The following is a 21127-nucleotide window of genomic DNA, read 5'->3' on the forward strand; positions in this document are numbered from 1 at the left end:
ATTATATTTATTTAGAGTAGCTGAGAAATAATGAGAGACATCATTTAATTGAACACTTAACTCTGCAGTAGGTACTGTTCCCGCTGCTTTGCATGAATTATCTAACTTATTCTTCACAAGGGCTGTTAGGCAGGTTCCCATTCTAAAGAGACAGAAAGTGAGGCACAGAGAAGTAAATTGCTCAAGGATGTGTAATAAGTACAGCAACCAAAATGTAAATATCCATTGAGTAGTTATAACCACTTAAATTGTTTATAAGTTTTGGATTTTAGACTTGCAGGGACCATCTTCATGCACATTTCCCCCCTTCTTTAAAAAAAATTATTTCCTTCTAAAAAATAGAGCACAGATCTTTTGTGGTACAGTGCTACTTTTCAAAATTTCATCATGTGTGCCTCAGCTCCACGACAGCCTTTAAGCCCAGCATTCTTCTAGTCACTGTTGGATGTACAGAAACTGATGACGTAATTGCTGCCCTCAAGAAGTTTAAAATTGAGTTTAGGTGATGAGACAAGTAAAAATGAAACCTAGCACAGAGTTTTTCCTGGATGAGGCATCCAATACAGGTTATGCATGCACTGGAAGAAATTTGGAACCTTGAGAAAGAAAACCAGATTTTGGCCTCTGGCTATGCAGAATTTCACATCTACTTTGATTCACCTTTGTCGGAGACTGCTTTGGGATGTATCAGTATTTTACTTTGATAAAGGGGTCAAATGTAGAGCAGTTCACTTTTCCCAGGGACTGAATAGTGCAGTGATCCAGAATCTTAAATAGCAGGAACTCTGGGATTGAAAGAGTTTTTTTTTTTTTTTTTTTTTGAGACAGAGTCTCGCTCTGTCGCCCAGGCTGGAGTGCAGTGGCCCAATCTTGGCTCACTGCAAGCTCCGCGTCCCGTGTTAACGCTATTCTCCTGCCTCAGCCTCCCGAGTAGCTAGGACTACAGGTGCCCGCCACCATGCCTGGCTAATTTTTTTTTGTATTTTTAGTAGAGATGGGGTTTCACTGTGTTAGCCAGGATGGTCTCGATCTCCTGACCTCGTGATCTGCCTGCCTTGGCCTCCCAAAGTGCTGGGATTATAGACATGAGCCACCGCGCCCGGCCAATTGAGAGATTTTATAAAGCCTTCTGCACTCTGGAGAAGATAGTGGGTGCTATATGACCATCAGAGGGTAAAAAAGAAATGTTTTGCTCTGTAGGCCAAGTGTGCAACACTGCCTGATGGTCTGAACGTGGGTTTGATCTCACAAATTGTCAGGATGTAACTCTTCACACATAAAAGCTTGTGAGACCTCTAGGCACGGCGGCTCACACCTGTAATCCCAGCACTTTGGGAGGCTGAGGCAGGCGGATCACCTGAGGTCAGAGGTTCGAGACCAGCCTGGCCAACGTGGTGAAACCCTGTCTCTACTAATAATACAAAAATTAGCTGGGCATGGTGGTGGGCACCTGTAGTCCTAGCTACTTGAGAGGCCGAGGCAGGAAAATCGCTTGAAACCGGGATGGGGAGGTTGCGGTGAGCCAAGATCAGACCACTGCACTCCAGCCTGGGCAACAGAGTGAGACTTTGTCTCAAAAAAAAAAAAAAAAAAAGCTTGTGAGATCGAGGGTGCTTGCTTTCCCTTTAATCAGTGATAACTTGCAGGAACTGACCACTGTTGCAGCAGTTGGTTCATTAAGGTTCTCCATTTCCAGAGCTTTCTCTAGTCTTTTCCATTGCCCTGCACTTTAGCTCTGAAAATGGAGTTGGAGTGAGTCCTCCTGTTCCATGTGTGAATACAGCAAGGCTGAGAGAGAGACTTTAATAAACAAGTGTCTCCTGGCAGAGATGGAATTGCAGTTGTCAGCCTTAGCGTTTGCTGAGCTGTCCCTTCTCCTCTCAGCCAATGTTTACCATTTTTGGAGCATTTCTGTGGTTGATGTTGTAGTAGAGCCTGGGAATAGTGCAAGAAAGAAAACTGTACGTCTATTCACACTCCCCCCCAACTCCCCATTTAATTTTGGCCAACAGTTTAAATTGCTTTTTGCATCTTTGCTTTTGGAGTTTCTTAGAGCTGGGCATAGGTTGCAACAATGACTACCTCTATTTTCTAACCTTTCCCCTTCTCCCCTTCCTAGTCCCTAGGGGAAGTTAATGCGTAGGGACATGGCAGAAGGCAAGTAGATGAAGGGGAAAGAGGAGACAAAAGGACCTGGATGGCCCACAGACTTAAGCAGTCGTGTTCTGAGTGGTTGAGAAAGGACTTTTGAAAGGATCTTGGCATTTTGTTCTAATTTTTACTCTGATGGTAAGCAAACTTCTTTCTCTACATAGGGGGTCATAATGATGGTTTTCATTTCTTGAGCTCTTACTCTGGGTCAGGTATTGTAGTCACAACTTGAGGTGTCACTTCATATTAATGCTCACAACATCTCTGTGAGGTAGATGTTATTAATCCCATTTCCTTAAAGTGGAAACTGAGGCTCAGTGAGTTTAATTACCTTCCACATAATCACAGGGCTAGACTCGAAGCCACCCAGACCTCTGTGTCATCTTGCCTTCCTATGGTTGTATGTAGCTACTGTTAATCCTTGAGATCTGCGTGCTGGTGTTAAGCATGTTTCATGTTACTTAGCTTTTAGGGGTTTAAAGAGCTTTTTAAGCCACGCACGGTGGCCTAGCTACTTGGGAGGCTGAGTCAGGAGGATTGCTTGAGGCTGGGAGTTCAAGGCTGCAGTGAGCCATGATCAGGCCACTGCATTCCAGCCTGGGCAATGAAACGAGACCCTGTCTCTTAAAAAGCTCTCCTTTTAAAAAAAATTTTTCTTATAAGTGACCTTGAAATTCAATTGTGGTTTTATCCAATTTTCTCACTTAAAACAGAAATTCTAATGATAATATTTTTATTTATTGCAAGGAACAAGTATATAGCTATGATAGATGACTTGTTACTTGGTCTTGAAATTCTTCTTTTTACCTCGTGAACATAGTGTGTTAAATTAAGAAAACACTGTAGAGATGATAATTTTGAAAAGTAGTTGATAGCTTGAATTTATACCTTTACCATTCAGGAGGTGAAGAGTGGAAGAATTATTTTCAGAAAGTTGGAAATGAAGCAGTAAGTGATGAGAATTTGTGGATGAGAGAGCACAAAACATCACAGTCAGTGACTGTTGCAGTTGACAAATGAGAAACCAACGCTCCCAAGGTTAAGAAAAACTTAGACTTAGGACACCCAGAGAAGCACTCCCTAGAATGCCAATGGAGAAAGACTTATCTCTGCAAGTGCTGTCCTTTTCAGCTCTTACTGCATGCCAGATATTGTGCCCTTCTTATCCCTACTTAACAGATGAGAAAACTGAGGAACAGATCAACAGATTCAGTAATTTGTCTAAGGTCAGACAGCAATTGATGTGTGATGTCTGAGACTTCCCTGTGTAAGCCTGGACTCATAACCTTTAGCAGTATGCCTCTTTATTAAATGGTCTGTTTTTAGGTGGCAATTTCATCTTAAAACAAATTCAGCATTAAAAAGTGTTTCTCTTCAAGTGAATTTGAGCGTGTTGGGGTCTGGAGAGATGGAATCATTTACTTTAACTGCCTATTCATTGGTCTCAAAAAGAAGCCCCTTACATGTTTGCTTAGGACAAATGATTATGCTGGATAAATACTAAAAACTGTTTTGATCTTACAAAATTTACTATCTGTGTACCTTTGGGGAGCAAAAACAAATTGCGGCTGGGAAAATTTAGTGCTTGTTTACAAGCTTTATTTCCTTTGGTTCCCCAAATTTGCACACACAGAGAGGGCATCATGGTTGGATTTTAAGGACCATTGGCAGCAAGAAAGGTAAGCAGCAGGAATCAGGGACCCCCCAGTACCTGCCACCCTGACGTCTGTTGGCACAAAAAAGTGGGCTGGCTGGCTGGCTGGCTGGCTTTAAGGGACAAGACGAGGCTCTTGATGAAGAGTACTCTATTCACGCTCTGATTGGAAAAACAAACTAAAACACATTTAGATATAAACATGATAGGAACCTTTAAAAAATCTTAACTGTTTAGTAGGTGCCTATTACTAACCTAGTTTCCATAGTGTAATGCATCAGTTTTATTGAACACTTTTTAGGGGATCAAGCATGGGCTTCTTGTTTACTGCTTCTTCTTAATCTACTCCCTTATATAAGTTTTTTGTGTGTGCATAGCCTCTACCTCCATTCTTTCTTAGTATATTATTATTTTTGAAGACATCATTGTGTTGGGGTTGGATGTGGTCTTGAAATTCACTTGGTCTAGCACCTTTATTTCAAACACTAGAAAACAGAAATTTGAATGATAGTATTTTATCTCTGTGTAGTAGTTTCTGATAGACTATTTGATTTAATCATCTCTACCACCTTGTGATGGCTGTTACCCCATTTTACAGATGAGGAAGTGAGGTGGTTGGACCAGGGTCAGATAGCTGGTTATCAGCAGAGCTGGGACTAGAAGCGAGGTCTTCTGATTTGTGCTCAGGTTTTTTTCTGTTGCATCATGCTGCTGCTCATCCTCTTGTAAACTTGTGACTGTTGCACACCTCACAGCAGACTGACCCAACACTCCCAAGAGTTTATCCTTCCTGCCTTTTGTGTGCTATATCGAAACAAATTAATTTTGTGTTACTATTCAGTTCAAAAATCATAAGACTTATTTAGTGTCTGAAGCTGATAAGCAGCATTTAATTATTTTCTGAATATAGAGCTGGAAACCATTGTCCATCTCTTTTTCAAGTTATTATTTTTATGAAAGATGAGCATTTGTCAATAGAAGTATTTGTTGAATTAACATATGTAAAGACCCTAAGAATGCTGGATCAAAATATTTTGAGGCTGGTTGTGGTGTCTTATAACTATAACCCTAGCACTTTGGGAGGCTGAAGCAAGAGGATCACTTGAGGCCAGGAGTTCAAGATCATCTTGGACAACATAGTGAGATGCCATCTCCACAAAAAACTGTTTATAAAAAATTAGCTGAGTATAGCTGAATATGATGATACATACCTGTAGTCCAAGTTACTCGAGAGGCTGAGGCAGGAGACTCTCTTGAGCCCAGGAGTTCAAGGCTGCAGTAAGCTATGACTGTGCCACTGCAGTCTAGCCTGGGTGACAGAGCAAGACCCTGTTTCATAAATAAATTAGTAAATAAATAAATACAAACTGTGAATTTGTTCAGTGCTGACCTCTCCCCATCTTACATGTTGTGAAGCAGTATGTTAGATGCCCTTGGAGGCGGGAGGCAGGACCAGTGTCTTGCTCAGGTATACTCGTTGTGCAAGGATCTCCTGACCTACCCTTTAGCAGTCACTCCTCGCACCTGCCTGTCTCGACAGCACCAGTGTGTCCCTAAGATGAAGCCATACTACTCAGTAGGAAGAATGAAATACCCATTCTGAGAGGTGAAAGACAATGGGGTGATGTGGGTGCCTTCCCCTCTTACCCTTGTGCCTGCCCCTGAAAGAAAGTGTGGAGTTTAGTGTATACACATTGTCTTTGGTTGCTGGACTAAGGCTGAACAAGATTAATAACTTGTTGTATTGAACTGCTTATCTTCGATAGCTAGTGTTTGGACAGTGTGCCATTCCCGTGGAATCTTGGGGACAGGAGTGAGATTCGAGAAGCCATCCTTTCCTCCTCTGTCCTCAGGCGGAATGGCCCCCAACTGGGAGAGCGAATTTTCTTCAGATGTTCAGGAGAGTCTAGTAGTTCATGCCATTGTTACACTTTTCATTGATCAGAAGAACTAACTCTGTGGGCCTTTGTGTCTCTCTTTCAGGTCTAACTTCAAACTTGTGGCTGTTAATTCAAAACTCTATGCCATCGGAGGGCAGGCCGTTTCTAACGTTGAGTGTTACAACCCCGAGCAGGATGCGTGGAATTTTGTGGCGCCCTTACCCAATCCTCTGGCTGAGTTCTCTGCCTGTGAGTGTAAGGGAAAAATTTATGTCATTGGAGGATACACTACCAGAGGTAAGTGAAGGGACCAGGTAGGTGGTCTGCCCATGTGTAGGCGTCAGCAGTCTGGGAAGGGCAAGAGGGTGTCAGAGGAAGCCCCGACATATCCGAGTGTCATGTTATGCTTTAATAGTGTACACTTACACATCTGGAAGGAAGAGAGTTCCATATGGCAGGGATGATTGGGACAGGAGGGATCTTTTGATAACTTTGTGTGAGCATGAAAATCGAATGGGGAAGGGAGAGCTGTGAAAAAAAAATGTTATCTCTTTTTTTTTGCTTCTGGAAACCCAGCTTTTTGGTCAGCCGTCTTGTGATTTGGCTGGGCCTGGTTTGTGGGGGTCGCTCTCTGAGGTTGGGTAGCTCTTTGGAGAAGATTATCTGGGAACTCCCATCCTTATCCCAAACATACACCAAACCTGCCCCCATCCACCATTATGGAATTTAGTACCAGAGCATCCTTGCAGATTAGTTCTCATTTTCTCTCTTTGTGAGCACACACACATCAGGTAGAGGTTCCAGAAACCCAGCTTTAGGACACTGTTCACATATCACAGGAGGAGCAAGGACATGAATACAAGAGAGCTCTTTCCTGACCAGCAGTGGGAGGTGGTTGTACTATCTATTTATTTGTTTATTTATTTATTTATTTTTTGAGATGGAGTCTCCTTCTGTCACCCAGGCTGGAGTGCAGTGGCGTGATCTCGGCTCACTGCAATCTCTGCCTCCTGGGTTCAAGCAGTCCTCCTGCCTCAGCCCCCCAAGTAGCTGGGATTACAGGCTGCACCACCATGCCCCGCTAATTTTTGTATTTTTAGTAGAGATGGGGTTTCACCATGTTGGCCAGGCTGGTCTGTAACTCCTGACCTCAGGTGATCCACCTGCCTTAGCCTCCCAAGGTGCTGGGATTACAGGTGTGAGCCACCGTGCCCGGCCTGGTTCCACTATTTATTAAAATGTATATATGTGTTTTTCACTTTTTTGGTAGGCATTTTATTGTTAATAATTTGGAAATTAAAAAAATTTCTCCACAAGCTTATTTTTTGTGGAGACAAGGTCTCCCTGTGTTGCCTAGGCTGGTCTTGAATTCCTGGGCTAAGTGATTGTTCTGCCTTGGCCTCTCAAAGTGCTGGGATTACAGGCATAAGTCACCATGCCCTGCTTGCCAGCAAGTTTTATACTGCTCTTTTTGGTAGGGAATTGTCTCAGGTTACAGTGATAGAGAACAATGTAGTTGTTGGTGGGATACAGTGGCTCATGACTGTAATCCAGCACTTTGGGAGGCTGAGGCAGGAGGATTGCTTGAGGCTGAGAGTTGAGGACAGGCCTGGGCAACATAGCAAGACACCTTCTCTAAAAATGAAAAAAATTAGCTGGATGTGGTGTCATGTACCTGTAGTCCCAGTTGCTTGGGAGGCTGAGGCAGGAGGATCACTTGAGCCTGGGTGTTCAAGATAGGCCTGGTCAACACAGCAAGACCCCTTCTCTAAAAATGAAAATAAAAAAATTAGCTGGTTGTGGTGGCATGTACCTGTAGTCCCAGTTACTTGGGAGGCTGAGACAGGAGGATTGCTTGAGCCAGGGGTTTGAGGCTGCAGTGAGCTATGACTGCTCCCCTGCACCCCAGGCTGGGTGACAGAGTGAGACCCAGTCTCTAAAATAAAAAAAAAAAAAAGAAAAGAAAAAATAAAACTGTGGTTGTGGGAAGACAGACAATGGGGGACAGTCAAGCAGAGGGGTGCCTTTCCTTCCCTCTACTCTCCAAAGCAGATGTCTCCAAGTTACCTCTTAGCCAAGGAAATCTATTTCTGCATTTGGTCTGTGTGACTCTATGGAGCCCAGGACTTACAGAAAAGGTGTAACCTGGCTCTTAGGACTTTAAGCCACATTATGGTAGTAGACCTGCCGTTTTATTTGACATGGTGAAATAAACTACCACTCCTTTGTGGTACCATATGGGCAGGACAGAGCTCTTCAACCCTGGCTAACAAGCCTGAAGAAGACCCTGTGAGGCCGCAGCAGCCATGGGAACTTCCCAAAGGACAGAAATCCACATGCTAACGTAGCATCCAGATAGGTGACAGAAATTCCTTCCACCATATCCAAATGTGTCCTGTTTTGGGGATTTATGTTAGGAAGAAGTTAAAATGTAAAGTATTTGATGAACATCTGATTTATTTCTTTTTAGAATAAGTCGAAACATTAATTCAGTGGGGAAGATGGTGGGAGGTGTGTTAGTTTCCTGTGGCTGCCATAACAAATTAGTATACACTTGGTGGCCTAAAACAACAGAAACATATTTTCTTATAGTTCTGGCGACCAGAAGTCAGAAGTCAAGGTGTCAGCGGGGCTGTGCTCCTTCTGAGGGCTCTAGGGGAGGAGTCCTCCTTGCTCCTTCTAGTCTCTGGTAGCTCGGGGCTCCTTGGCTGGTGGCTCCATGATGCCCCTGCCTCTGTCTTCATATGATGCCCCTGCCTCTGTATGTATCTGTGGCTTCTCCCTTTCTGTCTAAGGACAGTTGCCACTGTTGGATTTAGGCCCCATCTAGGTAATCCAGAAAGATCTTAAGGTTTTTAACTTAATTACATCTGCAAAGACCCCCTTTCTTTTTCTTTTTTCCCTTGAGATGGAGTCTCACTCTATTGCCCAGGAAATAGTGTAGTGGCACAGTCATAGCTCATTGCAGGCTCAACCTCCTGGGTTCAGGCGATCTCCCACCTCTGCCTCCCAAAGTGCTGGGATTACAGGCATGAGCCACTGTGCCTGGCCCAAAGATCCTTTTTTTGAATAAAATCACCATTCACAGGTTCTGGGGATTAGGAATTTGACATATCTTGTTAGGGACCACCATGCAACCCACTGAAGTGATGTGTATATTTATGTATTTAAGGAGAGGCAAGACAAAGAGAAGTGACCTTTTTTTTTTCCCACTCCAAGTTTTCATTATTTGTCGAGCTATTCCCAATGTCCCTCTCTGGTGACTCTCCACTGAAGATAGTTTTCAACTTTTTCTTTACATATAATTGAAAAAAAAAAAAAGAAACTTAGTAGTCATTGCTTTGACCTTCAACACTGGTTGTCAGGTTACAGTGATTATAGGTTTAGACTAAGCCATGGGCCCCTCAGTCCCCCTGAACTCCTGTGTTTATGTAGTAATCCCCCTCTCTCGTGTGTGTGTGTATATGTGTGTGTCTTTTCTTCTAGGAAAGTCAATACTCCCAGTTATTTACCTATGAGCAATTCTAAGAATTCTGATTCCTCTCTAGGTTGAGTAACACAGACTGCATCTTGTGGGCTGACATAACGCACATATGTGCTTTGACTTCTCTTGTAACCAAGAGCTGTTCAACACTGACAGGCGGCACTGTAACCCAAAGAGTACTTTACTGGTAGATTTCCTAGTTTTTCCATGACCCTGGCTGAGCAAATGTTCTTTAGATTTGACCTAGAAAACCCTTCTTGTGTGTTTTGTAACCTCACAAGCCACTGCTAATGTACCTTCTTCACTTGGGCCACCCACCGTGATTTCTGTCCTGGATTCCCTGAGCCAAATACCCATGATGGGATGGTTCAGTGATGTGGATGGATGGCTATTTGTGTAAGGGCCGAAAACTAGTTTTCTAAGATGGGAGAGCTGGGCAGTTACTTATACTCTGAAGCCCTTCTCTTTCTCTGCTGGGGCTTTCCCAGCAGTTCCTAATAGTTCCTTGTATTTCAGATAAGTCATCATGATTGTTAGGAAAAAAAGAAAAAGTTAGTTTTTAGCCTCCTGACTTCTTAAGTCAAGTGAGACTTTTAAAATTTAGTAAATAATAGCTCATTATTTTTATGGTAGCTATTTGATTATTTTAATTCTTTAGCAGCACTGAAGAAATTCAGAGAAGTTCAATAGAGAGTAATAGCTATAAAGGGAAGAAGGGTGATTTGTCAAACTTCAGAATCAACTTTAAATGTAAAAACAAAAAGATCATTCCACCAACTCAGGCCACCTTGTTGAGTGAAGAGAGAAAACATTTACAGAACACCTGGAAAGACCTTCGGGCCTGGAGCTGAGAAATACGTGGAAGCCTCACTAGAATGAGTTCTTTATTGGTTCGGTGGACAGCCAGGTTACTAAGGAGCACTTTTTGTTAAATAAGTGACCAAAATCCCCTTGGGCCATCTCCTAAAATGATCTTTATCATAATAGCTACAGTAAAAAGAAAGAAGGAGAGGTATTAATGTGGGTGGAAATCAGGACAGTTTCCTAATGCCGTGGCTTACAATTCTGAGATTTCTCCAGGCATCAGGACATGTGCGCGCACAGGACTTGGCTCTCTTAGGAGATACTTCAGTTTGTATCAGATGTGGCTGTGGAGGGTGCTCTTTAAGCATTGCTAACTATGAGTGGGTCCCTCTCAGAAGAAAGGACTGTAAGAGGTATGAAACTTCTGAGAAAACGAGCTGTCTTCTCTTACCAAGCGCCTGCAGCCGTCAAAATGCTGTAGGCTTTAGTCGTCTGCCAGTTCCCAAGCTGAGCTGTCTCCTTCATGGATAGGATTTGTTTGTTTAGAAACAACAACAAAGTTCATTCTGTTTATAACTCAGAGCATTTGTTTTTTCTGCTGAGGCTAAAATACTTGTTTATTCTTTCCTAGAGGAGAAAAGAAAAGAGAACAATTAAAAACAAGAAAAACAAAACTAGATATTCTAAATTTCACAAGCGTTTTTCAAAAAGAGACGAGGCCATATTTTTCCTTAAAGAAAATTACTTTTTTTTTTGAGAGAACAGGATCTCACTCTGTCACCCTGGCTGGAATGCAGTGACATGATCACAGCTCACTGCAGCCTCACCCTACCATGCTAAAGTGATCCTCCCACCTCAGCCTTCCAAGTAGCAGCTGGTACCATAGGTGCACACCACCATGCCTGGCTAATTTTTTATTTTTTTTAGAGACAGGAGGTCTCACCATATTGCCCAGGCTGGTCTCGAACCCCTAGGCTCAAGTGATCCTCCTGCTTCAGCCCACCCAAAGAGTTGGGATTACAGGCATGAGACACCATGCTTGGCCGAAAATCATTATTAATTAAAAATGTCAGAGCAACCTTTTATCTAGACGTTGATCTTATCTACGCTACAACTGTCATCTTGTGAGGGACATGGGAAATGGGAAAAGGGAGAGGGGAGGACCTTTGTTAGTGTCTCTCTGGTGATATAATGGGGAAACTAAGGCTAGGCATGGTAAAGATCCTGTCTTTAAAAAAAAACAAAAAAAAAACTGGAAACTGAATTGCCAAGTGGTTCTGTGGCTTGTTAGAAGGCCGCAGGTGAGACTTTGCTGCCTTTCTCCTGACTTGTAACGTTGTGTCCTTTTCACTAGACAGCCTCTGGAGATCCTGTGTTGCTACTTGTCATGTTTCTTAGGATCAGCTATCAAGAATAATCTACTTGCTGCCCAGCCTGGCTTCTGTATTAAGTAGTCGGTAATTTTGTAGCTATTGATGAGGGTTCTGAGGCACTTACTTTTTTTACACTGACCTGGTGGTTCAAAGGTGTGGGGATACCAGGGAGGAGGGGCTGTGTGAAAGTCAGAGCTGCGCTTTTTCCTGGTTTTATCCAGTCTGAGTCTCCCACGGAAGAGACGTTTGGGAGTGGGAGGTGAGTGCGGATGGATCTAAATATATCTCTTCCCAGCCACTTTGAAAACTGTTTTTCTAACTTGTGCTTTTTCTGAAAGAGTTTTTTCTCTTTGTTACCAAATTATGCAGGCAGAGGTAGACATTTCTGTACAGACTTGCCTAGTGGTGTTAGTGGAGGCGGTGTCATCACTTGTCTTTCTTTCTTTCAGACCGGAACATGAACATTTTGCAGTACTGCCCCTCTTCCGACATGTGGACGCTCTTTGAAACATGTGACGTCCACATTCGCAAGCAGCAGATGGTGTCTGTGGAAGAGACCATCTACATCGTGGGGGGGTGTCTCCACGAGCTGGGGCCCAACCGCAGGAGCAGCCAGAGCGAGGACATGCTCACCGTGCAGTCCTACAACACCGTCACCCGCCAGTGGCTCTACCTCAAGGAGAACACGTCCAAATCGGGTCTTAACTTGACTTGTGCGCTCCATAACGACGGCATCTACATCATGAGCAGAGACGTCACCCTGTCGACCAGCTTGGAACACCGAGTGTTCCTCAAGTACAACATCTTTTCAGATAGTTGGGAAGCATTTCGGCGTTTTCCAGCTTTTGGACATAACTTGCTGGTTTCTTCTCTTTATCTGCCCAATAAAGCAGAAACATGACTGAATTGAATTGGTAGATGAAAAAAACCTGGTTCAAGTTTTTTTTAAAATGTGGTGTCCCATTCCAAGGGAGACCAATTCCTAAAGGGTAAAGAAGGGTTAAAGTAGGTCACATATATACAGTAGCAGCTGTAAATAAGCTTACTTGAACTAATTACTTGAAAACTGGTGGAAAAAAGAGACCAACTTTGTTATTTTTTAAATTATTGATTTTTAAATTATGGGAGCAAATCCATCTCCAAACATGATACTCTTGGGCCAATGACGGATCATCAAAATGTAGATTCATTGTGTCTGTGTGGTAAAGGGCCAAAGTCAATAATTGGGACAAATGGTAAAGATGATTTTAAAATCTGTTGTATTTAGGTCCCTTGACATATCATTAGCACCTTAAGTGAGAGGTTTTCTTTTTCTTATCAGTGTCCTTGACAAGCATTCATATTAACATATTCATTCTCTCTTCTCCATCACCCATACCCACACATACATCTAGTATGTTTAGGGTTCTGTGTTCAGATATTTTGTTTGCACACTACTTTTTAGGAAACTTATAATGATGGAGCCCTACAGTGAATCCTTACCAGTGTTCAGTCCTCCCCAAAACTTGCATAAAAATATTCTTAGCTATTTTTCCAGCCTTTTTTGCAGTTACAAATGCTGGATAAATAGACTGATAAAACCTCTTATTTTATTTATGTGGCAGGTTGCATATTTATGTGGACACATAGGTTGCACTGCTAGGCATTCTGTATTGTTTTAAAGAGGATATATTATTTAGAAAAATGGACATATGAATATTATTAAAAATTGAGTCTTAAATTTAAATGGGAAGGGAAGAAAACACCAAATAAGAAAAAAATTTGCCTTTAAGAGTTACTTTTGTTGAATGTATTTGACTTAGTTCTTATTTTAAGGCTAAAAAAACTTTGTCATATTTAAGTCGGCAGCTTTCTAATTTAATCTTAGCTTTGTAATTCATGTTTTGCTTTTGTGGACTAAGGTAAGGACAGCATTTAAATATTTGTGCTGGAGTGAGGGGAAGAAGCTGTTACAGAAGTGGAATGGTTTCTGGTGGTATTTCTGAAGTTAGGTAAAGTGCTTTACTTGCCTTGGTTGTTAATTGAAATAGAATTCAGCTCAAGCAGTTGTTTTCAGTGAGTGAGTTAACAATAAAAGCTTCTGCCAATCATAGATCAACATTCCTCAAAAATACATACACTCATACTTATGGAAATTTTATTTTGATTGAAAACACTCTGAAATTATCTGATATTTTGTAATGGCATCAGTTAAACTGTGAGCTGGATTCCATCTTTCTGCAGTAACAGCGGGCAGAACCATTTCAGTTAGCATGTGCCTCACTTTAAGAAAGTCCTGTAGGGGAAAAAAAAAACTGTCAGAGCGAATTCATGCATTCAACAAACACTTATGAGTGCCTGGAGTATGCCGTCCACTGTGCAGATGTAGGACAGGGGCTAATCACTTAGAGTTCTTCAGTTTATTAGAGGAGTGACTACAGGTTTTCTTTACAACCATGGCCTCTAGTATACTTAAAATAAGCGTCCAGTTATAAAAAGCCTATTTGCACAACTTTTTGGGAATACTTCTATTAACTAAAATGAGGTAAGCCATTATTTTGGACATAGAAACAGATCTTTGTATCTTGTCACCAAATAATCTTACCTCTAGTCTACTTACAACTTTGTAAGGGTTTCTAAGCTATGCCCATTTATTCCCAAATATTAAGCCCTTAAAAAAATAAAACCTCTGAACCAAAATCTTCCCAGGAATAGTACTTAATAGATTTTAATGTTAATTTATATTCATTGTAGAATTGAATTTCCAGTGACCTGTAATTTCATTACATATATTTTAAAATCTATTTATTTTAGATGGTGTTAACTTTTCGTTGCTGAAGAGCTTAACTTTTTAAAGGCTTTGTCCTATACATTTAGAAGATGAGTCAGTTGAATTAGTACTGGACAAACAGTTGGAGATTAGTTTGCAAATAAGCATATCATATCAAATACAATATTCCAGCCAACCAGTTAATTCTCTTCCTGGTTACATTCATTGGGTCTATTTGCCTAATGTTGACAATTAGATTCTTGGACCAAGTGAGGGTGTACTCTGATCCACAAAGCTCTTTTATAAACCAGGTTTGAGGTTGTGTGTGTGTGTGGGGGTGTGTGTGTGTGTGTGTGTGTATGTTTGCATATTATAGCTCTCTTTAAGACAGACATCTAAAAAGATTTTGGTTATTCTGGGCTGCCAGCAGTACGTGGGAAAGGTGGAATGTGCAATAGGAACAGATCTGTGCATTTTGTGACATCGTCCTTCCTGCTGTGCACATCAGCTGTGATGACATTTTGAGGGTAGTTTTAATTTAGCTCGGTTCTCTTGTTGGTGCCAGTATTACATTGAAGACTACCTATGATAGAGGCAATGTTGCTTTGAAAATCTCCCTTCAGGCGGAGGTTGCAGTGAGCCGAGATTGTGCCATTGCACTCCAGCCTGGGCGACAGTGCAAGACTCTGTCTCCAAAAAAAAAAAAAGAAAAAAGAAAATCCCCCTTCATCCCCCAGGACTGTCCTTTACTCTTTGATAGTATCCCTCTATTTTCTTCCCAATTCTCTAAATGCTTTATCATTTTTTCCTGAGATGCTTCTGAGGGATGCTGACCTCCCACTATGGGGAAAAGGGTTGCTTGGAGGACCTGGGGTGGCAGCCCCCCGACCAGAAGCACCCTATTTTATAGATAGCAGTCTGAATGGTAGAGAGTCCTGTGTGTGGGTTGTTAGAAGGTTGGTTCTTCCTGTTATTCTCTCTGGCTTTCCTTTCAACCCACTTATTTTCAGAGGCCTCTCCCCTTAGCATCCTTTAAAAGGTTTTCTGATGAATGTGTGAAAGAGTTGATTATTTCAACAGTATTGGTTAAGTCACAACGACGAAGTGCTGAGAAGGTTATGGGTACCAGGAAGAAACAAACAGAAGTCTTAAGATTAGAATGAGAACCAAAGAGAATTTAACCCTGCCATTTTTTTTTTTTTAACACCAAGATCCTAAGTAATTCCAAATGCCTTAGATATCAATGAAAGCTACACACCATTGAGATGGGCAAAATTCTTTCTCTACAAAGGGAGTAATCAAGTAAATACCTGTTCTCTTTCAATGGACTGTTGCCTATTGAGCATTGTGGATGATGTGTTTTCAGATTTCCAGGTGAAGTTCTGACCCTACCTGTTTGGCCAAAGACGTAAATTGAGAGGAAAGGCCTTGGTCTTCCTGATCAACCAGCATTTAACGAACAGTGGCTTAATGCAGATCACTCAAGAGGCAGCATAGCAATGTAAAAGGAATATAAGTAGGTGTTGGATGCCTTTTTCCTAGACCAGGAATGGGGAATATATAACACCTGTGCCACCGCTCTTTTAAGGAGGCATTATGAATGAGTGCAGCATTCCTGTCCTCTGTGCCAGGATTTGGTCTTAGAATCCATGTCAGATTGGTGCTTCCAGACATCTATTCCCAGTCCATCAGAGTGAAATGAAGGCTATTTGCCATCCCTGCCTTAGACAGAGGAGTGAAAGAATTAAGTGGGTAGACACCAACCAAAATGACTTTGAAAGCAGTGAGCTGATTGAGCTCCAGTTCTGTGGTTACCAGAAATACTGAGTGTCTGTCATGTGCAAGACAATGCTAAGAACAGAATACAGACATAAATAAGTCACGGCCCATGACCTTGAAGAGCTTACGGCCTTATAAAGAGGTTCACTGTAATTGTCTTCACCAGGGCGTCCTTCTCAAAGATGCCCACTTTTGTCTGGCACATTGGGGCTCGGTGGTCTGGTGGTCCCTTCGGTCTTGGCCCTGTCCGTCCTTTGTTTTTGTGATTTACTAACAATCATCACGAACCAGTTTTGTTTTTCTTTTAAATTTGAACATCACATCTTGTGTTTTAGTTTTTTGCTCTATGATTTTTTTCTCACTGCTTTTCAGTCTTCTCTGTACTTCATTTTTGTGAAAAAGTGAAAATCACATATAATCTTTATTTAAAAATGCTCACCAAGCACTGCAGACTTTGGAGTTAGGGATTCAGCAGCTTGTTCCAGTGAAAAGGAGGAGTGAAGCTGGGGAAGTTAGTATCTAAGAGGGGCAAGCTGATTGCATGTGCATTTATACCTATGCCTTTAAAACATTCCCATAAAAAGTATTAATAAAGAAATTTCCATTCCACACTAGTACTGATGAAAAGGTGGTTGATTTTGCCTTGTGATAATTATCAAAGGATAGTTTTTCATCCTTAGATTTTATTCACATGAGAGATTTTTTTTATTTTCTCTGTTGACTTAGGAACACATCATAAATTCACACCAACTGACACGTTGCTGACGTCTGTACTTGACATAACCATTTTTATTCATACAGGAAGCATTAAATATAAAAGATGGTCAGTTTTGAAGAGCAAAGGGTGCTGAAATGACTTGTACGGTTGGCTGGTGCTTTCTCAAATGGATTGCCATAGTTCATTACTAGTAAAGAAAAGGAAAATGTGATTTACGTTGTCATTTTTCCTATTAAAAAAAACCCTTAAGAATGGGGCACTTGAGCTGTCCCTGCAATGTTTTCATATCTAGTAGTCATTTTAGGGAAAGTGATAATCTGTAGAATGAATAGTTATGTTTTGATATGACTGATACTTTCTTTGTTAAAAGGTTGTATTAAGTCTTCAATTTCAAGTCTAGCTTAAAAGTGTAAACATTATGTGATTCATTTGAATACAAGAATGCCTATGAAATACCCACTATAACAGCATTCCTTTTGTGTTTAGAACTATAGAAGAAAATGTCTTCAAATAAAGTAGTTTTCAGTCACTTTTTGTTATCTAAGTTCTATGTATCAGTTACGTATGCAGGGCTGTGCCAGGACTGGGAGGAAATGGGTGAAGTGACTTGGGAGCCTGAGGTGGGAGGATTGCTTGGGGCCAGGAATTTGAGACCAGCCTGGGCAACAGTGAAATCCTGTCTCTACAAAAAATAGAAATAAAAGAAATTAGCCGATACAGTGGTGCATGCCTCTAGTCCCAGCTACTTGGGAGGCTGAGGCAGGAGGATTGCTTGGGCCCAGGAGTTTGGGGCTGCAGTGAGATCTGATTGCACCACTGCACTCCAGCCTGGGCAGACAGTGCAAGACCCCAACTCAAGAAAAATGAAATAAATGGACAACCATTTTCTACACACTCAGGACACACTGATGGAGGAGAAGGAGGATGGCTGACCTAGCAGAGCGACACCCAAATCTAACTGAGCACTTTTTTTTTTCCCAGGAATTATTCTAAGCATTTTTTATTTAAATTATTTAATCCTCACATGAATCCCATGTGGTAAATACAAATATCCTCCGCTTTACAGTTGAGGAAACTGAGGCACTGTAGGTTACAAATTGCCACTTGAGAAAGAGGAGAAGGGAAAACTACATACAGTGGTCACTGGTTTAAAGGGTATCCTTTCTCTTGCTAGTGGAGGAGTGGGTTTCCGAGTGAGCCAGTCTGGGAGCCTCTGGTCCTGCTTTGCAGCAGCGCGTTCCATGGCTGACCTGCCTGGGGGTGAAGTGGCAGCCTCTTCCTGTGGGCATGGTTACAGGAGGTGTGTGGAGGGGCACCTGAACACTTCTGTTGAGGCCAGGGATCCTAGGCTCCTGTTTGTAGGCCATCAACATTTCCTTGGCAATAAAACTTTAAAAACCCATTTGAGGCTGGGCACGGTGGCTCACACCTATAATCCCAGCACTTTGGGAGGCTGAGGTGGAAGGATTGCTTGAGCCCAGGAGTTCAAGGACAGCCTGGGCAATACAATGAGACCCTGTCTCTATTAAAAAAATAAATAAATAAAAACTCAGATGCTGGTAAATCTGATCTCCGGCAACTCCATAGGATAAAGGCCCAGATTTAGAGGAGCCCAGTTTCTTTAACTTAGAGCCCATCTTTATGATGTCTGTCTCTTAGCCACAGGCTTCCTGCCCATGCCTCCACCTTCAGTTTGATGGCGTCAATCTCTCTCTTAGCTTTGGGATAATCTGAAACCATAGGGGTCTGCCGTTCCCAGACTACATCCCAGGGACTGCAGCATTAGTAGAAATGATTACCTCTGTGTGGCAGGAGGTGTTTGGGGAATAAAATACCCACCCTATTTCCTCTTCTTCTTCTTCCTCTTTTTCTCCTTCTCCTCCTTTTCCTCCTCCTCCTTCTCTATTTTTGGAGACAGGGTCTTGCTCTGTCACCCAGGCTGGAGTGCAGTGGCACGATCTCAGCTCACTGCATCCTCGGCCACCTGGGCTCAAGTGATCTTCCCACCTCAGCCTCCTGAGTAGCTGGGACCACAGGCATGTGCCACCACACCCAGCTAATTAAAAATTTTTTTAAAAAAAATTTTTATAGAGATGCGGTCCCGCTATGTTGCTTAGGTTGGTCTCAGAAAACGATTCTCCCACCTCGGCCTCCCAAAGTGCTGCGATTTACAGATGTGAACCACTGCGCCAGGGCCCCCACTCTATTAGTTTGCCTCCTCCGGGAGCCCGATCTTACTATATTTCTGGCTGTTCATGCCCCTTTAACTAAGGCAGAGAACCTGGCTCCTATAGTTCTGCCAGGCACATGTTTGATCCTCTGCAGTCTGCTGCCTGTAGGCAAAAGGGTGAAAGGCATGGACTCTAGAGCAAGACTTTGCTTCCTAATTCTGCTACTGTCTTTCTTTTTTCTTTCTTTTTTTTTCCCGAGACGGAGTCTTGCTCTGTTGCCCAGGCTGGGGTGCAGTGGTGCGATCTCAGTTCACTGCAACCTCCGCCTCCTGGGTTCAAGTGATTCTCCTGCCTCAGCCTTCCAAGTAGCTAGGATTACAGGCGTGTGCCACCACGCCCATCTAATTTTTGTATTTTTAGTAGAGATGGGGTTTCACCATGTTGGCCAGGCTGATCTCGAACTGGCTAGTCTGAAACTCCTGACCTCGTGATCCACCCGCCTTGGCCTCCCAAAGTGCTGGGATTACAGGCGTGAGCCACTGCGCCTGGCAATTCTGCTACTTTCTAGCTGTAGCTTTGGTTAGGCTACTTTGTCTCCCCAGGCCTCAGTTTCTTTATCTGTAAAGTAGGGATAACAATAGTATCCACCCTGTGAAACTGTTGCAAAAAATTGTATGAGAAAATTCATGTGATGTGTTCAGAATGGCATCTGGCACATAACACACAATGAATGTGAGCTGTTGTTATTATTACCAAAGCTGTTTCCTTTATACCTTCAAATGGGCCAGCTTGGCTGGAAGCTTATGCCTTTCCTAAAATATCTTAGCAAAGCCATTAAGACGTAGCTAACAAATTCCAGATCCTGGTACAAGTCTTTCACTTCTCCTAAAGGAGCCAACTTGAGTGGTCTGAGGCCCAAGAGACAGCAGCATAATTAGTTGTTTGCTTTCCACATAAGGTCAGGGATGAGAAGATTCTATCTACCCCATCCCTTCCCTTGCTTTAGCTGGCTCCATATTTCAGCTTTAGATATTTGCAACATCCCATCCTAAGTACCAAACGCTTTATTAAGACTTGTTTGAACCAGCCCAGGTAATGTGTCCATTTCTGAGGTAACCACTGTGGCCAGGGGCATGGAGGAGAATCTCCAGTTCAACCACGTGGAATGAAGTCATCTCAGATAATAGGGGTCTGCTTACTAGAAGAAAGGGGTGTTGACTCTTGACTTGCAAAAGGAACAGCTAGATAACCTGTTGGTCAAGCAAAGCCAAGTTTGTTATGCTTACTGTGGTCAGGGAGGACACCACCTTGAAAAAGAATTAGTAGTGCCTCAGAAGGGGAATGTCAGGTTTTGGGGCCTGGGCTGGGTGATTTTGAAGTAGGTCTCAACACTGGGCAGAGTTTCTGATACAAGAACTTTGGGCATAGGACTTTGTGGGCACAATGCAGTGAGAGTCCCAAAGCTAATCTTGGGAGCTTGTTTGGAGGTTCCAGCAGGGGAGCGCAGCTACTCATACACCCTTGACCCAAGACTGGTCCTCCTCTATTGGGGATGGTTGTCCTCTTCGACTGAGCGTGGAGTTTCGGGAGGGACGCACATGGAGCAGTGAGGGAGGAAGGGGTCACCCATCTAGCCAGCCAGATCAGTCGAATCAACCCTGGCGATCAGTGGGGTGAGAGTTGTCACAGGCAGATCACCCTCACATCCCCTAAGCTAGCCTTGATGGGGAAGCTGTTAGTCTTGGTAAGTGAGCTAGCTGGTTGGTTTACAGTGTTATGGAAGATAAGCCTTCTGAAAATACTTGTTCCTGGATACAGCTTCAGCTATCTCTCTCTCAGGGCACACATATTTGTCTCATAGAACAGTTCTTATGTGCTTGTCTTATTCCTCTTCTAGACTGTAGTTTCCTTGATGATAGAGTGTTTCATTAATCTTTTTATCACTCTATGTCAGGACATACACCAGAGCCATGTAACACAGCAGATTCTGGAAGTATTTGTTAAATTGGAAAGGTTTTGAAGCCTCCTTGGGTTTTCTGAAAATATATAGGTTTCTGGTTTATGTAGCCCTAAAATTTCCTTATAGGAAAAAAGTGTTTTCTTGAGGAACAACGGTTATTAGGAAAACAGTGTACTTTTCTCTTCTACCAACGTACATAATGCGTCACGCAGATGGGAGAAGTTTCGAATTCTGGCTGTGGCTGGAAAGGAAGTTTGCCCACAGACAGTAGTGAGGCAAACGCCTAGGAGTTCAGGGGGCCCCGCAGGCAAATGGGAATGGAGCCCCGTCGCTTCATTATTTTCTCATCACTAGAATCAATATTAGGGCTTGAGTGATATTATTGTCACTCGTAGAACTGTTTT

The 21127-nt window shown here is 42.5% G+C and overlaps 1 protein-coding gene and 1 pseudogene across 3 annotated transcripts in view, besides 1 other annotated feature; one reads left to right on the forward strand and one right to left on the reverse strand.

Moving 5' to 3' along the window:
• The window catches only part of KLHL42 (kelch like family member 42), a 22808-nt gene extending 5687 nt beyond the window's left edge, over positions 1–17121 (forward strand). Inside the window, exons 2-3 of one of the 3 annotated variants that reach the window (XR_931315.4) lie at positions 2120–2289; positions 5789–5877. Coding sequence is in view for 2 of the 3 variants with exons in the window: in NM_020782.2 (NP_065833.1) it covers positions 5789–5982; positions 11796–12247 (646 nt within the window). In the remaining variant the exon portion in view is untranslated. Of the gene's footprint in view, positions 1–2119; positions 2290–5788; positions 5983–11327 lie in introns of those variants that run through there. The other 2 variants (XM_017019698.3, NM_020782.2) reach the window with 2 other exon arrangements.
• Positions 18996–19165: an enhancer, noted in NCBI's record as "experimental_27127 CRE fragment used in MPRA reporter constructs". NCBI's record gives its function as "activates a minimal promoter by MPRAs in K562 erythroleukemia cells, with activity observed for both the introgressed and non-introgressed 12:27957933 variant alleles {active_cell/tissue: K562}" and the evidence as "EXISTENCE:reporter gene assay evidence [ECO:0000049][PMID:34662402]".
• On the reverse strand, positions 20163–20471 carry RN7SKP15 (RN7SK pseudogene 15; annotated as a pseudogene).

The sequence above is a fragment of the Homo sapiens genome, chromosome 12, assembly GCF_000001405.40.
Source record: "Homo sapiens chromosome 12, GRCh38.p14 Primary Assembly".
In the NCBI taxonomy this organism is placed as follows: Eukaryota; Metazoa; Chordata; class Mammalia; order Primates; family Hominidae; genus Homo; species Homo sapiens.